The 26,467-nt window shown below is 50.2% G+C and overlaps 1 protein-coding gene across 1 annotated transcript in view, besides 5 other annotated features; it reads right to left on the reverse strand.

The window, feature by feature from the left end:
• RP1L1 (RP1 like 1) overlaps positions 1 to 26,467 on the reverse strand; it is a 48,795-nt gene that overhangs the window by 9,147 nt on the left and 13,181 nt on the right. The window contains exons 2-3 of the mRNA NM_178857.6: positions 7,098 to 7,725; positions 951 to 1,092 (exon numbers count right to left, since the gene is read on the reverse strand). Coding sequence (NP_849188.4) covers positions 951 to 1,092; positions 7,098 to 7,706 — 751 coding nt within the window. The 5' untranslated portion in view covers positions 7,707 to 7,725. The remainder of the gene's footprint in view (positions 1 to 950; positions 1,093 to 7,097; positions 7,726 to 26,467) is intronic.
• Positions 13,350 to 13,550: a silencer, noted in NCBI's record as "peak6901 fragment used in MPRA reporter construct". NCBI's record gives its function as "represses an SCP1 promoter by STARR-seq MPRAs in K562 erythroleukemia cells {active_cell/tissue: K562}" and the evidence as "EXISTENCE:reporter gene assay evidence [ECO:0000049][PMID:32103011]".
• Positions 14,951 to 15,080: an enhancer, noted in NCBI's record as "active region_26993". NCBI's record gives its function as "activates an Ori minimal core promoter by ATAC-STARR-seq in GM12878 lymphoblastoid cells {active_cell/tissue: GM12878}" and the evidence as "EXISTENCE:reporter gene assay evidence [ECO:0000049][PMID:35858748]".
• Positions 16,146 to 16,855: an enhancer, noted in NCBI's record as "H3K4me1 hESC enhancer chr8:10489151-10489860 (GRCh37/hg19 assembly coordinates)". NCBI's record gives its function as "activates a minimal SCP1, AML or CMV promoter by ChIP-STARR-seq in naive H9 embryonic stem cells {active_cell/tissue: H9 hESC(naive)}" and the evidence as "EXISTENCE:reporter gene assay evidence [ECO:0000049][PMID:30033119]".
• Positions 20,328 to 21,233: an enhancer, noted in NCBI's record as "NANOG-H3K27ac-H3K4me1 hESC enhancer chr8:10493333-10494238 (GRCh37/hg19 assembly coordinates)". NCBI's record gives its function as "activates a minimal SCP1, AML or CMV promoter by ChIP-STARR-seq in naive and primed H9 embryonic stem cells {active_cell/tissue: H9 hESC(naive and primed)}" and the evidence as "EXISTENCE:reporter gene assay evidence [ECO:0000049][PMID:30033119]".
• Positions 21,234 to 22,139: an enhancer, noted in NCBI's record as "NANOG-H3K27ac-H3K4me1 hESC enhancer chr8:10494239-10495144 (GRCh37/hg19 assembly coordinates)". NCBI's record gives its function as "activates a minimal SCP1, AML or CMV promoter by ChIP-STARR-seq in naive H9 embryonic stem cells {active_cell/tissue: H9 hESC(naive)}" and the evidence as "EXISTENCE:reporter gene assay evidence [ECO:0000049][PMID:30033119]".

Consider the following 26,467-nt stretch of genomic DNA (forward strand, 5'->3'; position numbering starts at 1 on the left):
GGCACACGGCCCATTGCTGCCATGATGTCATGGCCACTGTAGTTGTTTCTTTTTTGAGGCAGGGTCTCTGTTGCCTAGGCTGGAGAGCAGTGGCACGATCATGACTCACTCAAGTCTCAAACTCCTGGGCTCAAATCATCCTCCCCCCTCAGCCTCCTGAGTAGCTGGGACCACGGGTATGCGCCACCATGCCTGGCTAATTTGTTCATTACTTATTGATGTTTGTGGTAGAGGCAGGGTCTTGCTCTGTTGTCTAGGCTTGTCTTGAACTCCTGGGCTCAAGTGATCCTCCTGTCCTGGCCTCCCAAGTTGCTAGGAATAAAGGTGTGAGCCTCTGTGCCTGTGGCTCTTAATAAAATTTATTTTAGATTCTAGAAACTTTAAATTCAAGATCTCTTAATCCCTGTTCCATTTATTTATTAATTTTGAGACAGGATTTTGCTCTGTCACCCAGGCTGGAGTGAAGTGGTGCGATCACGGCTCACTGCAGCCTCAACCTCCTAGGCTCAAGGGATCCTCCCACCTCAGCCTCCCAAGTAGCTGAAACTATAGGCATGTGCCATTATGCCTGGCATATTTTTTTGTATTTTTTTTTTAGAGACAGTGTCTCATTATGTTGCCCAGGCGGGTGTCCAACTCCTAGACTCAAGCTATCCTCTCGCTTTGGGCCCCCAAACGGCTGGAATTACAGACATGAGCCACCATGCCCAGCCTCTGTTCCTTTTATATACCAAGCACTGCCCTCTCCTATCTTGGTCAAATGTTGAACCCAAGTAAGATTGACAGTACTGAGAAGGAGGAAGAGGCAAGAGAGATCCCAAAATGACTGGGATACCCAAGATCTGGGGCCAAAGGGAAGTTTCCTGAATTACCTGGAAGGCTTTCCACTCAGCCCTACTGAACCACCATGCAGTGCAAATCAGATGGGGGAAACCCAAAAACCAACTCACCGTTTTTGTTTCTTGAAGTCAGCCCAGATAAAGTTTCAGCCTCGCTTCTCCTGGCATTTTTCATGGCTGGGGTTCTGAAGGCCTCATGCCCGGCACACACCAGCACAGAGGGGCTGTGCAGCAGGGCCTGCAGCGAGTCCACCTGAGGGAGGAGCGGGCGGGGTCAGGAGGCCTGGGCTGCAGAAACCCCTCTACCCTGAGGCCTGGGGGAGGAAGGATCCAGTCTCACCAGCCCTGTCCTGATTTCTGCACATCTCACCCCAGACTCCTGGTCCAAGGAGGGGTCTTATCCACTCCCCATAACACCTCTATCACTAGCTGGAGGCTGAGGTCCCACCACCACGATCTCCCGCTCTAGCTATACCCCTCCCTCCACCAGGCGTGAGGCCCGTGATCAAAGGGCATTCTGGATGCCCCTGCTGCAAAAGACTTCTGTAGGCCGCATTTCTGCCCACATGTCCACCCTCCAGAATATGTATTCCCTGAAGCAGCTGGAGCAGCACGCCCTCCAGCTCCCACAGCGGGGCCCGATTCACTCTCTCATTCTTTTCCCAAATGAAGGAGACTCTGTGCTGCCTAATCTGTGTTTTCTGGTACAGTCTGAGTCTGTTGCCTCTGCCCAAGTGGAGGGGAGAGGGGCTAGGCACCACTCTTCCTGCAGGGACCCCTTCCCTTCCAGACTCCTAAAATGGTCTCTGGGCTCCTGACCCTCCCCAGACCCATCAGAATGTCCCCTATGCACTCCTGGGCTCAGGGCAGGCCATGTCACTGCAGAATTCCTTTCCAGGAAACTGGTCCCTGGACCGAGAAGCCCCTGCAGATCTGAGGGTTTGCACTATTGATGGGATTACATTGTAATGAGCAATGCTGGGGAATGGGGAATGTATTTCCATCTTTAAAGCACAGAGCATGTTTTTTCTCATTCTCTAAAATTATAAGGGTATGCTCATTAACAAAAAAAAAAAAAAAAAAAAAAGAAAAAAGAAGGAACATTACATTCTCTTCCCCAAAAAATGTCATAGAAGTCTGTTGTGCACCAGATCTTTCAGCCTAGGTAATTAGAAGTTTGTTTTTGTTTTTGTTTTTTTCTGTTTCTTTTTCTTTTTTTTTTTTTTTTTTTTTTTTTTTTGAGACGGAGTCTCGATCTGTCACCCAGGCTGGAGTGCAGTGGCGCGATCTGGGCTCACTGCAAGCTCTGCCTCCCGGGTTCATGCCATTCTCCTGCCTCAGCCTCCGGAGTAGCTGGGACTACAGGTGCCCGCCACCATACTCAGCTAATTTTTTGTATTTTTAGTAGAGACAGGGTTTCACCGTGTTAGCCAGGATGGTCTCGATCTCCTGACCTCGTGATCCGCCGGCCTCGGCCTCCCAAAGTGCTGGGATTACAGGCGTGAGCCACTGCACCCGGCCTAGAAGTTTGTTTTAAATGACGAGGTCCATTTCTTCTTTGATTTGGACTCCTGGTCCATCAAAAATCGCACCCACTAAACGGTAGCTAACGGAAGGTAGGGACCTCGTCTCATTTGTCTGTTTATGTGGCACATGCTAGTCCACGGTAATGCCACTAACTCAAAAGCATCCTTGCATTACGTTGTAATTAGCAATGCTTGGGGATGTATTTCCATCTTTAAAGCACAGAGCATGTTCTTTTTCATTTTCCAAGCATTGATGTTGGCTCTCTCATTGGCCAGCCATGCAACTAGGAGCAAATTACTTAACCTCTGTGCCTCACTTTTCTTATCTGTCCCAAGGGGATAATAATATCAGCTACCAGCCAGATGCAGTGGTTCATGCCTGTAATCTCAGCACTTTGGGGGGCCGAGGTGGGTAGATCCCTGGAGCCCAGGAGTTTGAGATCAGCCTGGGCATCATGGTGAAACCCCATCTCTACTAAAAATACAAAGAAAAAAAAATTACTTGAGCGTGGTGGTAGACGCCTGTAATCCTAGCTACTTGGGAGGCTGAGGCAGAGAATTGCTTCAACCCTGGAAGCGGAGGATGCAGTGAGCTAAGATCGTGCCACTGCACTCCAGCCTGGGTGACAGAGTGAAACTCCATCTCAAAAACAAAGAGCAAACAAACAAACAAACAAAAAAATTAGCCAGGCATAGTGGCATGTGCCTGTAGTCCCAGCTGCTTGGGAGGCTGAGATGGGAGGATCACTTGAGCCCAGGAGGTCGAGGCTGCAATGAGCTGAGATTGGGCCACAGCACTCCAAACTGGGCAACAGAACCAGACCCTGTCTCAAACATTAATAATAGTAATTAATAAATTAATAATAGTAATATCAGCTACCTTGTGAGTTTGTGTAGTGAATGCTATGCCCCATACCAGCTGTTTCTATCCCACTCTCTTTCTGGTATGCTTTCCAGTACTGCAGAGGTTTCTTTGTTTGTTTTGGTTTTCGTGTTTTTTTGTTTGTTTGTTTGTTTGTTTTCTGAGATGGAGTCCTGCTGTGTCACCCAGGCTGTAGTGCAGTGGCGCAACCTCCACCTCTCAGGTTCAACCGCCACCTCCCAGGTTCAAGCAATTCTCCTGCCTCAGCCTTCCCAGTAGCTGGGACTACAGGCACGCACCACCATGCCTGGCTAATTTTAAATTTTTAGTAGAGATGGGGTTTCCCCATGTTGCCCAGGCTGGTCTCAAACTCCTGACCTCAAGTGATCCACCTGCCTCGGCCTCCCAAAGTGCTGGGATTACAGGTGTGAGCCACCATGACTGGCCCAGTACTGCAGAGTTTAGAAAGCTGCCAGCCCATTTCCTGAACTCCCTTGCAGCTTGGGATCTAAATGCGAAATAAGTCCCACTAATAAGATGCACTTGAACAGGGCATGGAACGTGGCAGCGAAGCACAGGCCATCTTCCTTTTGTTCCTGACTCTTGCCACAAGCAAAAGGAAGTCAAAGATGCAGAGAGGCATGTGCCACTGAGACATCAAAAGATGCCCTCGTTGTTCTAGTACCCATCATCTTCCCATTTGGGATCCCAGCAATGGTGGGGTAATTCAGAGCACAGTCATTCCAGAGGCAACCCCCCAAAACTCACCTTCCTCATTTCCTAGACATCCCTGACAGGTTGGTTTGTGACATTCTGGGAATCTTTTCCAGGAACCCAGCCTGTGCTCCTCCAGCCTTTCACTGAATCTCTAAGCATCAAACCCTCTGAGTGTAATTCTTTCCTGCTTAAGATGCCGAGAGAGGGCTGGGCACAGTGGCTCACACCTGTAATCCCAGCACTTTAGAATGCCAAGGTGGGCAGATCACCTGAGGTCAAGAGTTCAAGACCAGCCTGGCCAACATGGTGAAACCGCATCTCTACTAAAAATACAAAAAAAACCCAAAACAAACAACAACAACAAAAAAACATTAGCTGGGCATGGTGGCAGGCGCCTGTAGTCCCAGCTACTCGGGGAGGCTGAGGCAGAAGAATCGCTTGAACCTAGGGGGCAGAGGTTGCAGTGAGCCAAGATCATGCCACTGCGCTCCACCATGGGTGACAGAGGGAGACTCCATCTCAAAAAAAAAAAAAAAAAAAAAGATGTTGAGAGAGGATTCTGTTTCCTGTACTGAAGTATGGCTGATACAGTGATATGTGCTCTGAAATGGCAACTGAAACATAGTGCTGTTTCTCTGGCGACTAAGACACCTGTATCTTAGTCTACAACACCTGTGACCTCACTGCAAACATTTTGCTTTCCATCCCAGCAGTTTTGGTGTCTGCAAGCTATACAGCGAATTCCATGGATGTTAGTCCAGGGTCTCACTTCTTTTGCTATAAAATTAGTTCTTTGGATAGAAGTAAGCTGCATGGGTTATGGCATGGGTTTGGAGATCTCAGGACCCAAGGGAGAATGTTCCCCCTTAGAAGACACAACAGTGGGCTGGGTGCGGTGGCTCACGCCTGTAGTCTCAGCACTTTGGGAGGCCGAGGCAGATGAGTCACCTGAGGTCAGGAGTTCGAGACCAGCCTGGCCAACATGGTGAAACTCCATCTCTACTAAAAATACAAAAATTAGCTGGGCATAGTGGTGAATGCCTGTAATCCCAACTACTTGGGAGGCTGAGGCAGGAAAATTGCTTGAATCCAGGAGGCAGAGGTTGCAGTGAGCCGAGATCGCGCCACTGCACCCCAGCCTGGGTGACAAGAGTGAGACTCTGTCTCAAAAAAAAAGGAAGACACAACAGTGGCCCCATGGAGCTGAAAGCTGAGACGGTCACCTTGGCCATACAAGGCTTCTCATGACAATGAGCCAATAGGCAACAAGGAAGTTCTGTGTTGGCTGGGGTGGCTGGTTCTGATTGTCTAAGGGGGAAATAGGGCTACTATTACACAATGGGATAGGGAGGAAGTCATCTATTACCCATGCAGCCCATTGGCTGTCATGTCCAGGGATAAACATGAACACAAGACCACGGCCCATGTAGTGAGGAACCCCAAGGGCTCAGACCCCTCAGGAATATGGTTCGGTCACTCTGCTGAGTACATAAGCATAATCAGCTGCGGTGCTGGTGGGAGACAGAGGAACAGGGAGTGGAGAGTGGAAAGAAGCTTTAAACACCAACGAAGGCCTTGCAGTAGATAGCCTAATTTTTGTCATAGCTCTGCTAGGTATACATATTAATCAATTTCCCTTTTCTTTGTTCTTTATTTCCTATACTTCTTAACATAGGGTACTTTGATGGTGCTGGACTACCTAAGTAGACCTTGAGATAGACGATATCAAGGTGAGGTTGTCACAGCATAGAAGACGAAGGGTCCAGTGATAATGCGATTGTGGGGAGAAGGTGAACGTGTTTTTGATTGTAGGAGGGAGAGCTCTGTTACTCCATGAGTGCAGGCTGCTGTAGCTGATGTTTATAACAAAGTTTTTGTAATGATGTTATCATATGACTTTTTTTTGAGATGGAGTCTGGCTCTGTCACCCAGGCTGCAGTACAGTGTATGATCTTGGCTCACTGCAGCCTCTGCCTCCCAGGTTCCAGCAATTCTCCTGCCTCAGCCTCCCGAGTAGCTGGGATTACAGGTGTGCGCCAACACACCTGGCTAATTTTTGTATTTTTAGTAGATATAGGGTTTCGCCCTATTGGCCAGGCTGATCTCGAACTCCTGACCTCAGGTGATCCGCCTGCCTCAGCCTCCCAAAGTGCTGGGATTACAGGCGTGCGCCACTGTGCCCAGTGATATGATATTTATGAAGTATTGGTGGAATGGTGCATACAGATGTTAAGGAGCAACAGGACTGAATCTTGAGGAGACTGTGAATTAGGTCAGTCAACCTCCATCCTCCATTCTGCCGACCTTTGGTGGAATTTCATGTCCGGCAGAACCTGGAAAGGCAAAAATTACATTCACGCATGTCCTTGAACTCAATAATCATAGTGGCTTCCAGCAGAGGTAGTAGCTTCCTGCACATGCTGGGAGCCATTCCTGCAGACCCAGCTTCCAATTCACTCTCTGGCTTCCCAAACATGAAGCCCTCCAACGCCCTGTATTAAATCACTTTCTACTTAAGGTAACTTGAGTAGTTTGTTTCCTACACTGAACCCCTGCAATAATAGGTTATTGGATAAGACAACAATAAGAGTACACAAGGCTGCTGGGCATGGTGGCTCATGCCTGTAATCCCAGCACTTTGGGAGGCCGAATCGGGCAGATCACCTGAGGTTGGGAGTTCAAGACCAGCCTGACCAACATGGAGAAACCCTGTCTCTACTAAAACTAGAAAATTAGCTGGGCATGGTAGCACATGCCTGTAATCCCAGCTACTCAGAGGCTGAGACAGGAGAATCATTGGAACCCAGAAGGCAGAGGTTGCAGTGAGCCGAGATCATGCCATTGTACTGCAGCCTGGGTGACAAAAGTTAAACTCCATCTCGAAAAAAACAAAGCCAAAAAAAAAAAAAAAAAGAGTACACAGGCACAATGCCTGCCACTTACCGCATGCTCTCTAAATATACCTAAAAACATGAATCACAGCTGCTTGTTGATTTATTGACTTGACTGAGTGTCTCCATGCTGTTCACCTTTAATTAGCAGCAGGGCAATCAAATGCCTCTTTTTAAGGAATAATCTCTCTCTTCCATGTGAGTATTTTGACCTCAGGTCTAAAGAACCTTTTCAAGGAACCGTCAGACCCCAACAGCCTACCTTTTTCCCGCTGGTCGTGTACAACTGCTTCACAGGAAAGCGCAGGAGATCTGAGGCTTTGCCGAGAAAGGCGGCCAGGTTCCTAGTATTCCTGTGACTGAGAACCACTGTCTGCTGGAGGCGAGGGTCCATGTTCTTAATCAGCAGTATCCTCCGGGGGGTTTTAAGACTCTTCCGGGAGGAGGAGGTGCCTGGGGCTTCACGCTGGCCTTCGACATCCCGCAACTGCTGAGCAGTGGGGTTTCTCTCCTGTGGCCGGCCTGGTCCACTGGGGGTCTTGGGGGGCTTCTTATCAGAGCAGAGGTAGCAGCCTCCATCTTCCAGCTGCTCCAGGGCGCTGAGGCTATGCAGGCCCCGGGGTGTGGTGACAGAGCGCACCCCAAAGGAGAGAGGCACGCGCTGGGAGAGCTCGTCCATGAGGGCGCTGAAGGTCTTAAAGGCGCGCTGGTGAACGGCCAGGCGGACCCCAGCAAACCGTGGATCCCCTCGCTTGAGGAAGGTGATCTTCTTGGCTGGCGTGACCTTGGTGACCGAGGGGGTGCGAGCCACAGAGGGCAGGAAGCACTCACGGTGGCTCGGGGCCTGGGCATTCCTGGGGGTGCTGTTCATGGTGTGGGGGCTCTGGCCGCTGTAACAGGGCAGAGGAAGAGGGGTCAGAGAGCAGCTTGGGGGATTGGCATTTCCTGTCTCTTCCCGTCTTTCTAGAGGTGCTTCCTGCCCACCCCAAATGTGCTCCACTCCACTATGGAGAGGCAAGTGAATCTATTTGGATGGAACAGAAGGAAGGACAAAAGTTGGGCATGGGACAGATCTGAGTTCAAACTCCAGCCCCGTGAATTGCTTGAGCTCAGGAGTTTGAGGCTGTCCCCAGCATTACCATGTTCCCACCACATGCCTTCAGAGTCACCATGTCCCCAGAACCACCATGAAACCAGGACCACAATGTCCCCAGCACAACCATGTCCCCAGCACCTCCATGTCCCCAGTACTTCAATGTCCCCAGAACTTCCATGTCCCCAGCACTTCCATGTCCCCAGAGTCATCATGTCCCCAGCATTGCCATGTCCCCAGCAAAGCCACATCTGTAGCACCTCCATGTTCCCAGGACCTCCATGTCTCCAGCATTACCATGTCCCTAGAGTCATATGCACTTACAGTCACCATGTCCCCAGCATCACTATGTCCCCAGCACAGCACCACATGTCCCCAACATTGCTGTGACTCATTGTCACCCTGTCCCTCAGCATCATCATGCCACTAAAATGACCACGTATATCCCCAGCACCACTATGTTCCCAGCACCTCCATGTCCCCAGCATCACCATGTCCCAGAACCACTGTGTCCCCAGCACCTCCACATCCCTGGCATCACCATGTCCCCAGCACCTCCATGTCCCCGGCATCACCATGTCCCCAGCACCTCCATATCCCTGCATCACTGTGTCTTCAGCACTGTCTTGTCCCCAGTATGACCTTATCTTGCAGCCATGGGGAAGGAAATTGCAAACGTGGAAGGTTTTCTTCTTGGAAGAGGCATCACCTTCCAGTCCTCACTCTCAGAATACTCATCACATTCTCCACACATTCTGTCACTCATCACTCCCTCTCTCATGTAGCCAACAAAGATTTCTGAGCATCTATTGCATCAGGCTCTGGGTGGCATCCTGGGATGCAACCATTAGTAGGACATGGCACCGATCTTCAGAAACTTCACATTCCAATGTGACAAACAGACACGCTCCTACACACAATAACAAATGTTCTGATGTGTATGTGTGTACATACACACACACTCACACATACACCACAATATACACTGGGTGTGACTGAATGCAGAGTAAAAGGAATGGCATTGCAGGTCAAGGAAGTCCTCCTGGAGGAGGTGATGCAGAGACTCCTGAGCTGAAGCCTAAAAACAACTTAGGGATTAGCCTCTCTGGCTCTAGGAAGAAATTAGGACCACAGCAAATAGATATGGCCCTGGCGTCTTCTCTGACCAGCTGGGTGGTGTTGGAAGGCTGGGAGGAGAAGGTTGGAGGCTTTTTGCAAGCTGGGGTGGAAGGCCGGGAGGAGAAGGTCGGAGGCTTCTTGCAAGCTGGGATCAGCTGCCATAGAGTCAGGGTGGAGCAAAGCCATTCTGGCTGCCGGACATCTGCCATCCCTGCGTCGGGGTGTTCAAAACCCGGCCTGGAAAACTGGGCTTTTCAGTTCCACGAGCCGACAATTCTCTCCTTGGCTGAGTGGGTTTGAGTTGGGGTTTCTGTCTTGTCGAACAGGAAGAGCCCCACTGAGATGTGGGCCCCAGAGAGTGACAACAGCAAGCACCTCACCTTCAGTGACTCTGAAGCTGGGTTTCTGAATTAGGAAGAAGCCTGGGTGGGGTTGGGAGCCGAGGCTCCTGTCAGATCCCCCACTTTGTCCAGTGGATGACAGGGGACAATCACTGCATTCCTACATTCCAGACCGGCCTTCAGAAGCCGGACTGAGGGTGAACAATCAGCTGATACGCAAAATCGCGTATCAGTCACTTTTCCCCTTGCTGGTTTCCTCCTTTCAAAATCATGAGGTTTCTCCTCCAATCAGGAGCAGGGGAAGACCTGACCTCTTAACAAAACATGCTGGGTGGGCGCCAGGCCGCGCCCAGAGAGAGAACACCCTACCTGCACCAAGCAACTCTCCACCATCTCAGGAATCAGGCCACCTACAGGGTCACAGAAGCTCCCAGGAGGGAGAAGGCTCTTCCTCCAGTACCACTCACCTGGGGCGTGAGTCCAGGAACCTGGGCCTTCGGGATGCGAGGAAATGCTGGGAGGAAAGACACAGGGAAGAGGGGGCCAGGCTGGAGGGTGCGTGTGGGGTGTGGTCCCTGCTCTCCACTCTGTGCCCAGCTGGGGGTCAAGTGGGGAGCCCATGGGGTGGGGGTGGGGTGTGGGAGGGGAAGCATCTAGATGAGGTGTGAGATGCTCCATAGGCGGAGGGCTTCTGCCCAGCCAAGCCTCATGACTGAGCGATAAAGGCGCCCCCCAACCCACCTCCCACACAGGGCAGGGCCTCATCAGGTGCGGGCAGGTAGAATGCATTGGAGGAGGCTCCAACATTTTGCTTCTGAACCATCCAGGTGCCCCCGGCTGTGGACAGGACCACGCAGGAGCAGAGGGCCTGGCAGGAAGCGGGGAGCTGTGGTGGGTGGTCTCAGTGAGCACAGAGACCGAGGGATCCACCCCTGGGGCTGATTAGGCCCCAGCAAACCCCAGGGTCCACTTGTACCGATCAGAGCCAGGGGAGGCTGAGTCAGTGCAGGTGGGGGGCAGGCAGCGAGGGCAGCATTGTGGGATGGAAAAGGAGGGGGCGGTGCCGGGGATTTTGGGAGGAAGCAGGGAAGGAAAGCAGAGGCCTTCCAGCTGTGTGTGGGAGGGGGTAGACGGAGCAAGGAAAAACAGATTACGGGGCAAAAGGAGAAAAAATAGAAGTCACAGGAAATGCTCCAAGAGTTGACAGCCCCTGTGGAGGAAGGGGCAGGGCGGACCTGCAGGGAGGAAACAGTTTTGTTGGCAGCCCTGGGAGCAGAAGTGGGCTAGGCTGGGTAGGGGGCTGGCAGCGGGCGCAGGCAGCAGGGGCAGTGGATTCAGGAACAGAGTGAATAGCGGGAGGATGGGGGAGGCTGGGCTTTGCAGGAGAGAATGCAAGTGGCAGGAACCCAAGCTAGGCCCCAGAGGGCTGAGCAGGGAGAGGGACAGGGCTGCTGCGAGACCTTGAAGGGCTGATCAATATCACACGCGGATCACCGAAAGAAGCCGAGCATGATGGGAAGCTCACATGTCCCCAGAGAAAAACACGTGGGGCATGCAGCCCCCGGAGAGAACAAGAGCTGCAGGCATGCAGCAGGGAGCTGGGTCCTTTGCACGCTCTCCACCATCACACAGGTCCACACGGGCTGCATGGGGTCAGGCAGCCGTTTTCAGCACCACCTTCCAGTGGCTCGCACTTGCCACAGGTCATAAGAGCACTGGTATTTTACAAACCATTTAAGAAAGGAAGAATGAAAAAAAGAAACAGTGACAAATGAAGACAAAGACACGCCATTCATTGCAAAGATGCATCCTGATTTCAGGTATATTAACACATGGAAAAAACCCCAAATCTGTGTGTATCAAAGTTTGGGAAAGACAGAATGACAAAAAGCGAAGCACAAATTGCTCACATTTCCACGAGAAAGCCACAGCACGTCATCAAGTGTGATTTCGATTGATTCTGGGTGCTGAGAGCGGCAGGAGCCACTGTGCTCCAACCTGATAGGTCAGGCCTACCAGGTGGGTGAACGTGACTCGTAAAAAAAAGGAGAGACCACAGTGAGATGCCACCTCACACCATTAGAACGGCTACTGTAAAAACCAGAAAACACGTGTTGGCATGGATGGGGAGAAGTTGGAACATTGCTGGTGGGAAGGTCAAATGATGTGGCTGCTGTAGAAAACAGTATGGCGGGTCCTCAAAAATGGAAGCATAGAATTGCCACATGATCCAGAAATCCCATTTGTGGGTATCTCCCCAAAAGAACTGAAAGCAGGGCTCAAAGGGATACGTGTACACCCACGTTCATTGCAGCTTTATTCACAGTAGTCAAAGGGTAGAAACAACCCAAACATTCATCCGCGGATGAACAGATTAACAAAATGCGATATAGACAAACAAAGGAGACTTACTCAACCTTAAAAAGGTAGGAAAATCTGGCCCATGCTGCAACATGGATGAACCTTGAAGACATTAAGTGAATAGAAATGAGCCGGTTACAAAAGACAAGTGCTGTATAATTCCACTTGTATGAGGTCCCTAAAGCAGTCAATTTTATAGAGACAGAAAGTAGGATGGGGGACATCAGGGCTGGGAGGAGGTACGAGAGGGGAGTTAATGTTTCAGAGGTGCAGAGTTTCACCCTGGGGAGTTCTGGGGATGGGTGGTGATGGTGGTCGCACACCAACGGCACAGGACTGTACACTTACAAACAGTTTAGATGGCCAATTCTATCTGGTGTGTATTTTATCACAATACGAGATATAAAAAAAAAAGTAAAAATATTTAAAAGGAGGGGGTGGGATGAATTACCCTTTAAGAAGGTAATTACCCCTTAAGAGGAGGACATCTTCCCTAAGCCAATTCCTAAACTAGTAAGAGTTTAGGGAAACATCACAGCGTTCCACACAACAGAACTCTCTGGCGCCCCAGGTTCTGGGCAGTAAATTCAGATGGAGAGTAACAGAGCAAGTAGGCAAAGAGGGCTCCACAAGGGTAGTTAGTACTTCTGATGAACAGGCACAAAGCAATCCAGCAGCAAACGATGACCACCTACTGTGTGCCAGACCTTTACTTAGACACAGAGACTGAGGCACAGCTTGGGGAGGCAGGCTCATGCCTCCTGGCATTTATAATCCAGGAAAGAATACAGACAGCACCAAGGTCCTCACTCTTTAATGGATGAGCAACCCAGCTGCTTCTGGAGGTCTCCAGGTTCATGAGCCCAACTAGGCTCTGCCAGTAACAAGCTGATGGCTTTGAGTGACCTACTTGAATTGTCTGTGCTTCCCTTGTCTGAGCCATAAACAAAGAGGTTAAACCACAGGATCACTGAGGTTACACTAGGAGTTTGTAGGAAAAGTTAGCACATGAGGCTGTGCTGTCCCTCAATCTGAGAGACCTCTTGAGAAATTACCAAAGGCGTTCATTCTTAAAATTGTCTAGGTAATAGCCCCCCTCCCTTTCAAAATGATAGTGAAAACCATGAATAACACCAATGCCCCTCCTGAAAAACAAGCACATTCCCATAAACACAAAATACTACACACAATTACAAGTGCATGGGCTCCTGCAGCTCATCATAGATGCACCCTCCACCCCCAGCCCCAGAGATCCAGGAAGCCCAGGCTAAGAACCTGTGATCCAATCCTTGGTGATGAGAAAAAAACAAGGAGAGGAGAAACAACAGAGAGAGTGACAGTGGAGCTCTGGGCTGGCCATGGAGCCCCGGTGGTATGACTTCAAAAGAAGAAAAGAAATCACGTTCCTGAATATAGACTTTCTTGTCCAAACTGTAGTCACTGGGAAAATTTTCCCAATGATAGTTCCCGTTCTGTCTGGTAATAAAAGAGGGACACATCCATGACAACTCATGGACTGGAAGAAACCTGATATTGACACTGGAAGTAGAATCCTTGGAAACTGTCAAAAAACAAAACAAAAACAAGCACTAGAGTATCTTCCTGTCCATCCCCCACAAACACACACTTGCTAATAGTCTCCAGGCCACTCATCAGTAAGGGAAGTAGGTTAATGAGATGGCCTGGATTTGCAGGGCTTACAACACCAAGCGGGATGTGCAGCCTCGTCAGAGCTCCCTTGAAGGCAGGAAGTGGGTCTGGTGCACCTCTGGCCCTGTGCTCGGCACATCACAAGTGCTGGACAAATGTTTGAAGAATAAATAATGCTTAGACAGCTGAGCAGGAAAGAGAATGGAGTGAGAAGTACGGTAAGCACAGAACAGGATGATAATAAAACCCAGGACAGGTAGAAAGCTCTCTTGCCCAATCATGGAGCAAGTGCATGGAGGAAACATATAAACAGCCAAGGAACAAGCAAATCCAGCAGCTGCTGGTGCTGGAGGTAGCTGCCAAGGGTCTGGAAAGTGCATGGGCAGGGCATGGGCCCTGCCTGGGGGCTACCCATGGCCCTGAGAAAGTGAGAAGGTGACTAAGGGGGCCTGGGAGCCAATGAATAGTCACAGATAGATGGAGCAAAGAACATCAAGACGAAAAGTAAATGGGAAGGAATAGGGAGAAGCTGGAGAGGAGGAATGGACTCGATTTCTTTGGGGTGGTCCTGGTGGAACTGGGAATTAGGATTGGCCAGGGTTTCCTTGGATTCTGAGGCAGATCTCAGCTCAACTTAGCAAACAACTTTAAACCACAGGTGTGGTCCCAAGGCAGCTTGGGCTACTGTGCAACCAAATGCAATCAACAATTGCATTTTATTGTCAGCAACAGAGACCCTCCCCATAAATGACTTAAACCAGGTAGAGGTTTATTTTCTTCTCACATAGAAATAGTCTAGAGATGGCCACTCCCACGCTGGCATGGGGGCTCCATGGTGCCACCCATGTCCCCAGCTCCTCCTGTCTTTCTACCCTGCTGTCCTTACCACTTATTCCCTCCTCAAGATGCCTCACAGTCAGAGGAAGGCTGCTGTGGGCCCTGGAGTTTGACTGAGATCCCATTCTGCCTGGCATTAGTGGTCTGTCCCCAAGTCTCTGTGCTCACCAAGACCACTTATCCCCTACTCCCGCATGGCCCTGTCCACACCACGTAGGCATCAAGGTGGCTCAGGGAGTCAAAGGTCAGAGTCTTCTCCAATCTGTTTTGCCTTTAACATGCCTTGCTGAGGCCCCATCCTGAGTGGGAGTCAGGGTGGTGAGGGGGTCTCCTTCAGAGCTCAGTCATGAGGGCGTAGTCAAGTCAAGAGGGCTTAGCTGGGCAAAGGCCCTCTGTCCCCAGAGCATCTATCTCTATACCTAGATGGTCCTCCCTTGACCCCCAGCTGGGAGTGCAGTGGAGGGGGGAGCAGACCCCATCTTGCCATCTTCAGTCCCTGACCTTTCTTCTCTCTGCCACCCCATCCACACCCCAGGCAGGAGGATGGGCAGAGGCAAAGGCACAGACTGAGTTGGCCTCATGTGAGGTTGACCTGACCTCTCCATCTAACAAGTCCTGCCTCTGCCCCACTGCAGAGCTGAGTTCCAGGACTGTTCCTACACACGCAGAGAGCTGGGAGGAAGGGATGGCAGAGATGTCACTCTCAGCCAGCCTGGGCCTTCAAGTGGAGAAAAGAGAAAGAGGGGTAAAGTTTGAGAGTTGTCAAGGACAGGTTGAAAGAAAATGTCAAGACAAATTCTGCAGAGTGGAGGGTTTCACTTTCACTTTCTGTTTCCCAGCCCGTAGGGGAGCTGGGGTCAGAGAAGGGAGCTTTGCACCTCCCGGCAGGCAGCCTCCTGCCTGGGCTCTGCCTCCCTAGATAACCACAGGCAAATTGCCCTCCATTGCTGGGACTCAGGTTCCCATCAGTAAAGTGACCTCTAAATTCACGTCTTGCACAAAGAAGTGAATTTTTTCATTTTAAAAAGCTCTCCAGGTGATTCTCAGCCAGTGTTGAAATCCACTGAGCCAAAACACTGGACATGATGGAATGACAACTGCTTGCCAACACGTGGTGTTAAGTCTACAACAGAGATTCATAAGAGACTGGTCATCGCAGCGGGAGAAATTGGATGAGACTTCCCAGCTGGGCTTGTGGGGGCTGGGAGGTGTGCACCAGCAGAGTGGGGCTAAGGGAGCCCCCTTTGCAGGTAGAGTCTTGCTCGAGTGGAGTGAATGCCTGGCTCTCAGGGGGAATGGCTTTGCCGGGTTTGTGGGGAGGAGGTTTGTTTACGGCTGCCACAGTTGGGAGCCATGGTCGACTTCGGAACAGGGCCTAACGTTGTGAAAGCGGTGATCACCCAAGATCAACCAGCAGGATATTTTAGACGGCCCAGGCGAGAATGTTGTCATGGCAACAGCACCTGCAAAAACACACACACACACACACACAAACGCACACACGTACACACATGCACACATGCACACACACGCACACAAACACGCATGCACACACACGCACACAAACACGCATGCACACACACGCACACACGCACACACACATGCACACACACGCACACACATGCACACAAACACACATGCACACAAACACACATGCACACACACGCACACACACGCACACACGCACACACACATGCGCGCACACACACGCACACACACACTATGGGTAGGGAGCACTTCTTCAAATACATAATGACATGTGTGAAGCTCTTTTCCGTGTATAGCAGGATTATATATACACATAAACATTATCTCAACTGTTCCTACAGTTACCTAGAGAGATGGCCGGGAAATCCCACTGAACAAAGGAGACATCCGAGGCTTGGCAAAGTTCCACGGTTTGTCCCTGTCCCCCCTCCTCCACTTCCGAGACGACCACAGCAAGGCTGGAGCTGGCTCTCAGACCGCAAGCGCTGGGTTCTCTCTGCCAGTGCCGCCCGAGCCTGTGGACAAGGGCTGGTTGGAGGCCGAAGGGAAGCAGCCCACCCCTGAACAGACGAAGACCAAGGGCGATGGGTCCTGGGGGGCTCTCCACGGCGGGGAAGACACTGCCAGGCAAGGTCTGGATTCAAAAACAGGAAGGGGGAAGCCAGCACGGGGCGGATTTGGAGTCAGGCCATGGACGTGAGTGAATCACTCCCAGACCTGCTTTCTCTGACACTTGCGGTGGCCCCAGGAACAGAGCAGCTCATTTCCTTGAGAATGTTTTTGTCATTTTGTCATCGTGCTTCACACGGTGGGCAGTGGGGGAGGGAGCCTTCAGGGGCCACCAGAGGACAGGTCCTGTCGAGGAAGCAAAGAGCACAAAGATGGGGCAACCCTGGCCCGGAAGAGGCTTCGGGTGAAGGCAGGAGTGTGGTTTTGCACTCCTGCCCTGCTTCCAACAAACAACGGGAAGCAACCAGGGGCACCAATGTCCGACTGTGGGAAATCCCCCATTTTCCCTGCTTAGATTTAGCTATAACTGGGCAATACTCTGTGATCCTAGAGTTGAGTTGGCACCATCTAGAACGTTCTAGAACATTTTTCCTCAGCCTTTTCTCCTCTGGAAATGGAGGCGGCATGTCTGAGATGGTGGTTATAAAGCACCTTTCACATGTTTTCATTTAACTCATTGGTAACAATCAGCTCCTGAGCTATGCAATCTGACTTATTGATGTATACAGATATCTCCACCTAAAGTCTTGGGGAGGGACCCCCATCTCATCCCGACTTTTTCCTTTCCCCCTGCATGCCTGCAGCTCCTTGTCTCCGCTCCTCTCATTCTCCTGCCAACTCACGGCCTGTAGAATCCCCGTGTGTTTACACGCCTTATTTCTCCCGCTAGACCAAGGGTGAGGATGAGGCCGCTGACTTTGGCTCCCCAGTGGGCAGCACAGTGCACAGCACCTTGTAGGTGCTCGGGAACTATTTGTTGAGAGACTGAATGAGTAAACGGATCAACATTCATCCAACACAGGGGTCCCCTCATTCCCAGTCTGAGGTTGACTTGATATAGGATGGACGAGGTCAAGATGAGGAGTTGGAAGCCTTTGAAGACCCTTGATGGCTCTGACACAACTCAGAGCCAAGAATGAGCTATCCCTTTAAGGATGCCCAGCCCATCCTTCAGCGCCATCCATGTCCACTCTCCTCTCCTTGGGCGGAGGCTGCAAAATGAGATGTGTGCTTCCTCACTCACTGCTGGGGGCAGAGGAGCACCAGTGCCTTGGGGGTCACTCTGAAAGTGAGGGTCTGCACCATGGGGTTTATGGAAGAGACATGGGCAGTGTCCAATTCTCTGCATCCAACAGCACGGCGACGTTCCCAGGAGACGGCAGCAGCGATGACCGCATCTGTGGCTGGAGGGATGAGGGAAGACTGCTGGCCAGTGGGAGCTAGAGCTGCACAGCAGCTGCCCCAGGGCCGTGAGCCAGGAATGCTGGCCTCACAAAGCCGCAGCCAGGTCAGGGATGGGGAAGCAGAGATGCTGACCTCTCTCTCCCTCTACTCTCTGATCTCCCACTAGTGCCCCCATTGACCAAATCCAACCCGAAATCAGAGGGCAAGAAGCCTGACAAGGCAACCCAGAAAGGCCAGACCCTTAGTTCAAAGGACAAAGGGTAGATCTGGGGACCGGGGCAGACAGGGATGTAATAAGCCCAAACCCCAAATTGCATCAGCTTCCAGCCAAACAAAACCCCGGGCAAGGACACCACTCCCATCCGTGCAACCTGGAGCATGCTTCGCCCCACAAACACCCTCGATGACTCTACTATGTGCTAGGCGCAGGGGAGGCCGGGGAAATCGCAAACCCACTCAGAGGAGCGCAGCGTCCCGCACAGGAGGCAGAACAACTGCTGTTCTGTGGTCATCATTTGAGTCCACCATCCACCCAGAGCACCAGGAGGACAGCAAACCTCCAGGGCGTGACTGAAGCTGCCCTGGAACGTTCTCCAGACCTAAGTACAGACTACACGAGCTTCAGTAACCACTGCTTCATGGCAAGGCATATTCTAATTATTGTAGGTATACAATACAAGGTATATGTCCAATTAATCTCCACATAGTTCCATGAGGGATGCATGAATTATATCCCTTTTCAGCCTCCCTGAAGTTTTTCAGCTGAGAAAACCGATTGACCGACGTGAGGGGAACCCAGGCTTCAGGACTGCTGACACAATATCCTCCCTCTCTGCCTGTGGAGAAGGGTGCCCGAGGGCCTGACCAGGAGGCTCAAGTCACCCTGATCCCCAGCTGCAGGCCTGAGGCAGCCTCAGCTCCTACAACAAGGCAGATAGAGCTCAGAGGACCAGGCTGGACCATACCACAGCGGTCTGAGTAAGAAGAGAAGTGATGGGAGCATAACATGGTACAGTTATCAGGCCACACAGCACCTGCCACAGGAAAAAAGAGTGCCCTGGCTCATCTCTGACACCACCCGACTTATCCACCTCCTAAATCAACTGAACCATGTGCCTGTCACCCTCTTCTGCAAACAGTTCTGAATATGCGCTCTCCCAGGACCCGAGAAGGAGCAGCACCGATGCTTGTGGGCAGAGCTGCAAGAGGCTGCAACACGGACCCTAGGATGAGCCCCACCCTCCAGGACAACCGCATGGTCATCATCAGCATCTGTGAGGCTCCTCCCGGCATATGGACCGGTTTTCCGTGATGTGACAAGTGGGGAAGATCAACACAAAGAATGCAAAACAGCCGACATACAGAAAGCGAGGATCAGGTCTGGTGTTGCTGTGTGGAGAGAAATGGGTTTCCATTTCCATCCGGGGACCACCCCCAGCGTTCCTGGCATTGTTGAGGCACTGCCTACTGGAACTGCAGAAGGCTCTAGGTTTGGCAGAAGAGTGCCAATCACCCAGGCTCCTGCTGGATTAGGAGCCATCCCCAGGAATGAGTCCACAGGCCCAGGGACAGCTGCTGCAGTGGCTGCTATTCCTAGCATTTCAGGAGCCCCCACACAGAACCCACCAGCCCCGGGGACCCCTGTCCACCTTCAGGTAGAGCAAGTCCACCTGCAGGCATTATGGCTCTTCCACCTGGTGTGAGTCTACCCAACCCCAACTGGGACTCCCTCTCCTCAAGGGACACCAAGGGTCCTTGCCCCTCCAGTCTCCCCAAGACTCTCTTCACCAGGAATAAGAGGCCCATCTCCCCCAGAAATGCATCCACCACAACCCTAGGAGAGTGCTGGGGCTTCTCAGTCACTTTTTCCCTGCAGTGCCACCTGGGATGTATGACAGTGTTTGTGAGCTTTGCCGCATTAACATGGGCTAATCCTCATAAACGCACAGAGCAATGGAACCGGGGAGGGAACAGGTAGAGGCTGGGGACTCGGGTGACGCGGTCTTCATCTGATCTTGCCACTGGCCACGGCATGTCCTTGAGGAAGTCACTTTACCTCCCCGGGACCTGGCTTTCCCCTCTGGAAACTGGGGGAGGAAATGGAGGCTCAGTTGCCCTCCAACTGACCCGTTAGCCTCAGCAGCCCATAATTCTATCACCTTCTCTAAGAGGGGACCCTTCTGGGCATCCAGAAATGCTCCCCCACCCCAGGCTAATCCCTGGTCTTCTTCACCCTACCATGCCGGGTTATTCCCAGCGCACGCCAGAGATCCAACGCCTCATGCACTTTCTGCTCTCCCAGGTGTCCTGAAGGAATGTAGCCAACGCAATTCAGGTTGTATGAGATCAATCCATTCCTCCACTCTACAAATCCCTATGGAATACCTACTGAGACTGGGCATGGTCACGAAAGAAGACCAGGTAACTTCTGTACTATGTTGCTCTCCAGGGGACCGTGGAATTGAGAAAGGGAGGAGTCTCTGATCTACACAGTGCCCAGAGCCTCCATTTTCTCTGCTCTTTTCTTTCCTTCCCTCGTGACACAGAGCTATTGATGGCCAAGAAAGTAAGTGGTAAGAGCAGCGAGTGCTTGTGGAGACAGTGGAGGATGTGGGAGACTTTTGTACCATTCTTGCAACTTTGCAGTAGATTTGGAACTAATCCAAGATAAATATTAGTTACTTACGGAGCGCTGAGAGTGGGGACTCAGGATCAGCAGAAGGCCACCAGGTGGGATGCCTGGAGCCAGCAGACACTGGAAGATCCCCCGGGTCAGTCTATAGCACCAACCCGCGGACAAAACCATCCCCATGGAAGAGACTGGCACAGGCCCGAGAGCACAGGGAGCTGGGGTGGGGACGCGAGTCTGGCTCTCTGCCACAGATTCCATCATTCAACAGCTCTGCTGACCACCTGCCTTCTGCAACATGCTAAAATGCTGTTTTGGTGTGGATGAGTTGCTTCACCTCTCTGGACTTCAGTTCCCTCATCTGTCAAATGACTTATTTGCAACGCAGTTGGACTCCACAATGCTTATGGGCCTTGCCATCGCTCAGACTTTCTGGGTCTATAACAAGAGTTCCAGGACACCCAATATCTTGGCTTTAAAGAAGGGTTCTGGGGGCATCTGGGGCCGGTGACTCTTGCTTTGTCCAGCATGAAGGCGTCAACAAGAGGCAAAGGGAAAAGGAGCCGGTCTGCAGGCGGCCAGACCCGTCAGCATCCCAGGGCTAGCCTTTGGCAGCTGTGAAGCCTTGGAGGAATGAATCAACCTCTCTGAGCCAGTCACCATCCTCGGTAAAATGGAGACATCGCATCTGCCCTGTGGGGCTGTAGTGGGATTGACTGAGCCTCGCCTGTGCAGTTGAGGCCCCGCCTTCTTCCCTTCCCCCTCGAATGGCAACCCAGGCCCTGGCCTGACCACCAAGAGGACTCTCCTTCACAACGGCCTCCTCGGATGAAAGGCGTGGGGGCAACAGGAAGAACTGTTGTTTTAACTGCTCTCAGCTTCCTCCTTTTGTCTCGGGCATGATAAACAAGCCTATTCCCCCAAGCCACAGCTGCTAATCCAGCTGCAGGAGGGCAGCGGTCAAGCAATCAGACATGCTCTTCGCTGGGATTAGGTTACTCCCAGCCGGGCCTGACCCCTCCCCTGCCCAGCAGCAGATCAGAACCGACTCCCTCCTGGCTATCCCTGGGGCTGCTGGGTTCGGATGCCCTGGGAAGCTGCAGGTCACCTGGATGGAACTGGAGTGACAAGGACTGTGGCCAGTCTGTCACACAGCTCCCTGACACAACTCCCAGGCCTGGCCCAGCCTTAGAACCTTCCCTGCCCTGAGGCCCTGACAGCAGGGCTCTACGTGGGGCCACTCTGCAGTGTACAAAGCATCGTCACTCACTCTCTCAGGTGGGCCTTGCAGTAGGCTGGTGAGGGAGAGAGACAGGCTGAGATTTAGAGAAAAAGAATGCAAGGTTCGCTCAGGGCCATAGAGCAGGCAAGGAGACAGCTGAGCCTTCCTGGTCAGGTTCCCGGACTCAAACTCAATGCTCACAGCAAGGCTGCCTCTCCCCACGTAGTAAGGGGCGTCCCCTTCACAGTCCCCAACCTCCCAGGCTTGGCCGCGGAATGCGCAGAGTGGCAAGGTCCTCTCACCCCAGAGCAGAGCACAGGATTTCCTCCAGTATTTATCAAATGCACCACAATTAAGCCAATTAGGCAAAAAGACTTAATGAGGACCTCCTGTGTGTGATGTCAGTGTAGGGGCCAGAAAACTCCTCTAAGCCTTTTTTGGCATTAAATGAAGGAATAAACATAGCAATAAAAAATAAAAGCCGGCCACGGTGGCATATGTCTAAAGTCCCACCTACTCTGGAGGCTGAGGCGGGAGGATCACTTGAGCCCAGCAGTTCAAATGTAGCCTGGGCAACAGAGTGAGACCCCATCTCCAAAAACAATAAAATACATAAAAAAATTAAGAAAACTCCCCATTTATAGTCACTAGATCTACTTGATATATGCTGGACACTCTAGTTAAGTATAGCTCAGCTGAGTTTTCCTGCAAAGAAAGAGTTAACGTAGCTGATATCTGTGGTAACTTATCTCCTGCATAGGAGTTTATTTCCCTAGGTTGGTTGAGACAGGAGGGGAAAGAGACGGGGGAAGTAGGAAGAGAGAGAGGAAAAATGGATCAGCTTCAAGATCAAAAGATGCTCAGAGATCTGAAAGGAAACACAAACTCCAGGGGTGGGGGGATTTTCAGGACTCTGTATCCTTCTGATAAGGAGCTAGTTCTTGGGACAGCCCCACCCTCCTGCCTGCAGCCCCAGGGCTGGGTCCCCTTTGCAACAAGAATAGGCGATGGTGCCCACCCCAGAAGCTGGTGGCTTGCGAGACCAGAGCAGCTCAGGAGGCACAGCCACTGATCCTGGGAAGCGTGCCCTCAGTTCATGGTGGGAACAACTGGGAAATACCTGCTTTGTTTACACTTTGTCAGGCTTAATGCAGTATTTTGTTAGTTTCAGGTAGGGCTTAACATCGATTACACACGTGAACCCAAAAATACCGATATGCTTGCCCATGCAAATGAAACATACATTCAAACGTATTTCCATGTATCCACAGGCACTTGTGATTCCCACCGAGGTCTGGTCGAGTAAAAGAGTTTGGGTAGCCTTGATGATAAAAGTACAAACGGAAGCATGAAATAGAAACTTCCCCTGAATGCTGGGGACTCAAGGAGGAATTCGAGACAGTTTCATGTGGGGAAAAAAAATCAAAGGAAGAATTGCAATAATTCCCTTGACTATTTTTTATCCCACGAAATTAGATACAAATTTCTACTTCAATTGTTTGAAGTCCCAGCTACTCTGGAGGCTGAGGTGGGAGGATTGCTTGAGTCCGGCAGTTCAAATGTAGCCTGGGCAACACAGTGAGACCCCATCTCTAAAAAAAAATAAAATATATAAAAAATTTAAGAAACCTCCCCATTTATAGTCACTTGATCTACTTGATATATACTGGACACTCTAGTTAAGTATAGCTCAGCTGATTTTTCCTGCAAAGAAAGAGTTAACGTAGCTGGGACTAGGGCTGAGGACAAACAAGGGGGCTCTCCAGACGGAGGGACACAGATAAAACCCATTTGCTGCCCAGTGGATCATTAAGAAGCTGCAGCTGGGCAGTGGGACCCACGTTCTTGCCTCTGCTCTCTGATAGAGCAAGCAAGCACGGCCAGGCATGGTGGCTCACACCTGTAATCCCAGCACTTTGGGCGGTTGAAGCCAGCGGATCACTTGAGGCCATGAGTTCGAGACCAGCCTGGCCAACACAGTGAAACCCAGGCTCTACTAAAAAATAAAAAATTAGCTGGGCGTGGTGGTGCATGCCTGTAATCTCAGCTACTTGGGAGGCTGAGGCAGGGGAATCACTTGAACCTGGGAGGCAGGGGTTGCAGTGAGCCGAGATCGGACCCTGCACTCTAGCCTGGATGACAGGGTGAGACTGTCTCAAAAAAAAAAAAGAAAAGAAAAGAAAAAAAGAGAGCAGGCATTGCCTCTGTGGAGACCTTTGCTTGCCCTCAATTCTGCTCTTCAAAACCCCGTCAACAGTGGGAAAGGCTCATGCATCAGAGAGAGAAAGACACAGGACAAACGAGCAGCCTACAACCGAGGAATCTGCCCGCGTGGCTCTATCCTCCGTGTGTTAACCTGTCCTGCCTCTTTTCCTTTGCTTCTTGCTGATTGTTTGAATTTATTTATTTATTTAGAGACAGGGTCTTGCTCAGGCTGGAGTGCAGTGACACAATCATAGCTCACTGCAGCCTCAAACTCCTGGGCTCAAGCGATCCTTATGTCTCAGTCTCCTAAGTAGCTGGGACTACAGGCGTGCACCACCATACCCGGCTAATTTTTGAACTTTTTGTAGATATGGGGGTCTCATTATGTTGCCCACGCTGGTCTTCAACACCTGACCCTGAGCAGTCCTCTTGCCTCAGCGTCCCAGAGCACTGGGATTACAAGTGTGAGCCACTGTGACTGGCCAGTTTAAATTTGTTGAATAAACCACATTATTGGAGAATCTTATTGCAAGCCTTTCTGTTTCATGACCTCCGGGAAAGTTTGACCGAACCGTACATAGACTACCTTTATTTCAAGGAATCCCCACACGACAAATTTGAAAGATGAATGCCGTTTAACTCAACAAAAATGAAATGAAAAGTATTTCCAGAAGAAAGGACAAAGTTCCTCCATTATTTCCCTTTTTTCAGGGGATGGTGTTGGTAGAATGTTACATGGGGTGTATTTATTTATTAAATACATTTTAATACGATATATGCAATCTATTTATTGTATTTACAGGGTTCTAAATGGTCAGGGGTTTTGTTTGTTTGCCTTTTAGTTCTACTTTGTTTTAAAAACAAAACTAAAACATAAAGCTATCTCAGGATAACACCCATCATGGGAAAGAAAATATGAAAACAGGCTGGAGGACTTAAGGGTGAGATTGATAATGGCCTTACACTGGCCCAAGGGGTAAATCTGCATGATCCAAATGGCTTCGTTTGTTCCTTTGTCTTAGCAATGATGCTCTTCTGACAGTCAGGCCTCGTCTACCTCACTTAGTTGGAGAATGAACCATTTTACATAAGTGAATTTCCCAGGCAGGTAACAGAATTTTTCAAAGAAAAGATCAAGATTATTTTATATGCTGAAAATCATTCTAATTTTGTTTTTTAATACTTTGTGGCTAGGCGTGATGGCTCATTCCTGTAATCCCAGCCCTCTGGGAGGCTGAGGAAGGCAGATCACTTGAGGCCAAGAGTTTAAGACAAGCCTGGCCAACACGGTGGTCTCTACTAAAAATACAAAAATTAGCCGGGCATGGTGGTGGGTGCCTGTAATCTCAGTTGCTCAGGAGGCTGAAGCAGGAGAATCACTTGAACCCAGCAGGTGGAGATTGCTGTGAGCCAAGATCACGCCACTGCACTCCAGCCTAGGTGACAGAGTGAGACTCCATCTCAAAATAATAATAATAATTATTATTATTAATATTTTATTATTATTATCATCATCTATAAGGTGTAGGAAAGAGATTGTATTGTAATATTTTGTGCTATAATATTCCAAGATTGTGCTATATATTTTTTTGAGACAGGGTCTTTGAAACAGGGTCTGTCGCCCAAGCTGGAGTACAATGGCGTAAACACAGCTCACTGCAGCCTTGACCTCCCAGGCTGAAGCGATCCTCTCACCTCAGCCTGCTGAATAACTGGGACTATAGGTGCACGCCACCATGCCTGGCTAATTTTTGTATTTTTTGTAGAGAGGAGGTTTTTCCGTGTTGCACAGGCAGGTTGCAAACTCTTAAGTTCAAGCAATCCTCTCGCCTCAGCCTCCCAAGTAGCTGGGACTACAGGCATATGTCACCACAACTGACTAAATAACATTAACTCATAAAATAAAATACGTTTTTCATACATTACATGGCAGATGCAGTGCCACAGCTCATCCCATCATGGGCCATGTTCTTCCATGTTCTTTGCATGTTTTCTTGTCCCTCGCAGTTAGATGGAGCCATATGAGAAGTACTAGCCAATGAAATGTGAACAGACATGACATGTGTGTCACTACCATGTTGCTGCAGTCAGAATAGGAGAGCCCAAATCCTAGAGCAGCTTGGATCCTGGAGTCACCATCTACAAGACAGCGACCCCTGGGGGTTCTCTGGACTGACAGTGACCTTGTATCAATGAGAAATAAATGTGTTGGACTAAGCCACTGAGATTTGGGAATCATTTGTCACAGCAGCATAACCTTGCCTATCCACACAAATGCACACACAAACATGAGAACAAAAACGAAATACACATTTTAAAAAGATGTGAGGAGAAAACACACCAGAATTTTTACAGTGCTATTTTTAGATGATGGCACCTATAGGTTAAAGAAAGAGCTTTTAACCTTTTTGCATATTTTCAATGTTATCGTAATGTAAAATGGACCATGTGATTGAGCACTTGCAATCTTGGACATTTATCCAGAGAAATGAAAACTTAAGTTCACACAAAAACTTGTAAAAAAGTATTCATAGCAGCTTTTATGCCAAACACTGGAAATACTCAGATGTCCTTCAAAGAATGAAGACTTAAGCAAACTGGTACATTCATATCATGGAATGCTACCATTCAGCATTGAAAAGGAATGAACTATTGGTACACACAAAAAATTGAACCCAAATATTCTGAAAATGACAACATTATAGAAATGGAGAATAGATTAACATTTGCCAGGGTTGAGGAGGAATGAAGCTGGGAGGGAAGTGGATGTGGC

This window comes from Homo sapiens, chromosome 8 (genome assembly GCF_000001405.40).
Source record: "Homo sapiens chromosome 8, GRCh38.p14 Primary Assembly".
In the NCBI taxonomy this organism is placed as follows: Eukaryota; Metazoa; Chordata; class Mammalia; order Primates; family Hominidae; genus Homo; species Homo sapiens.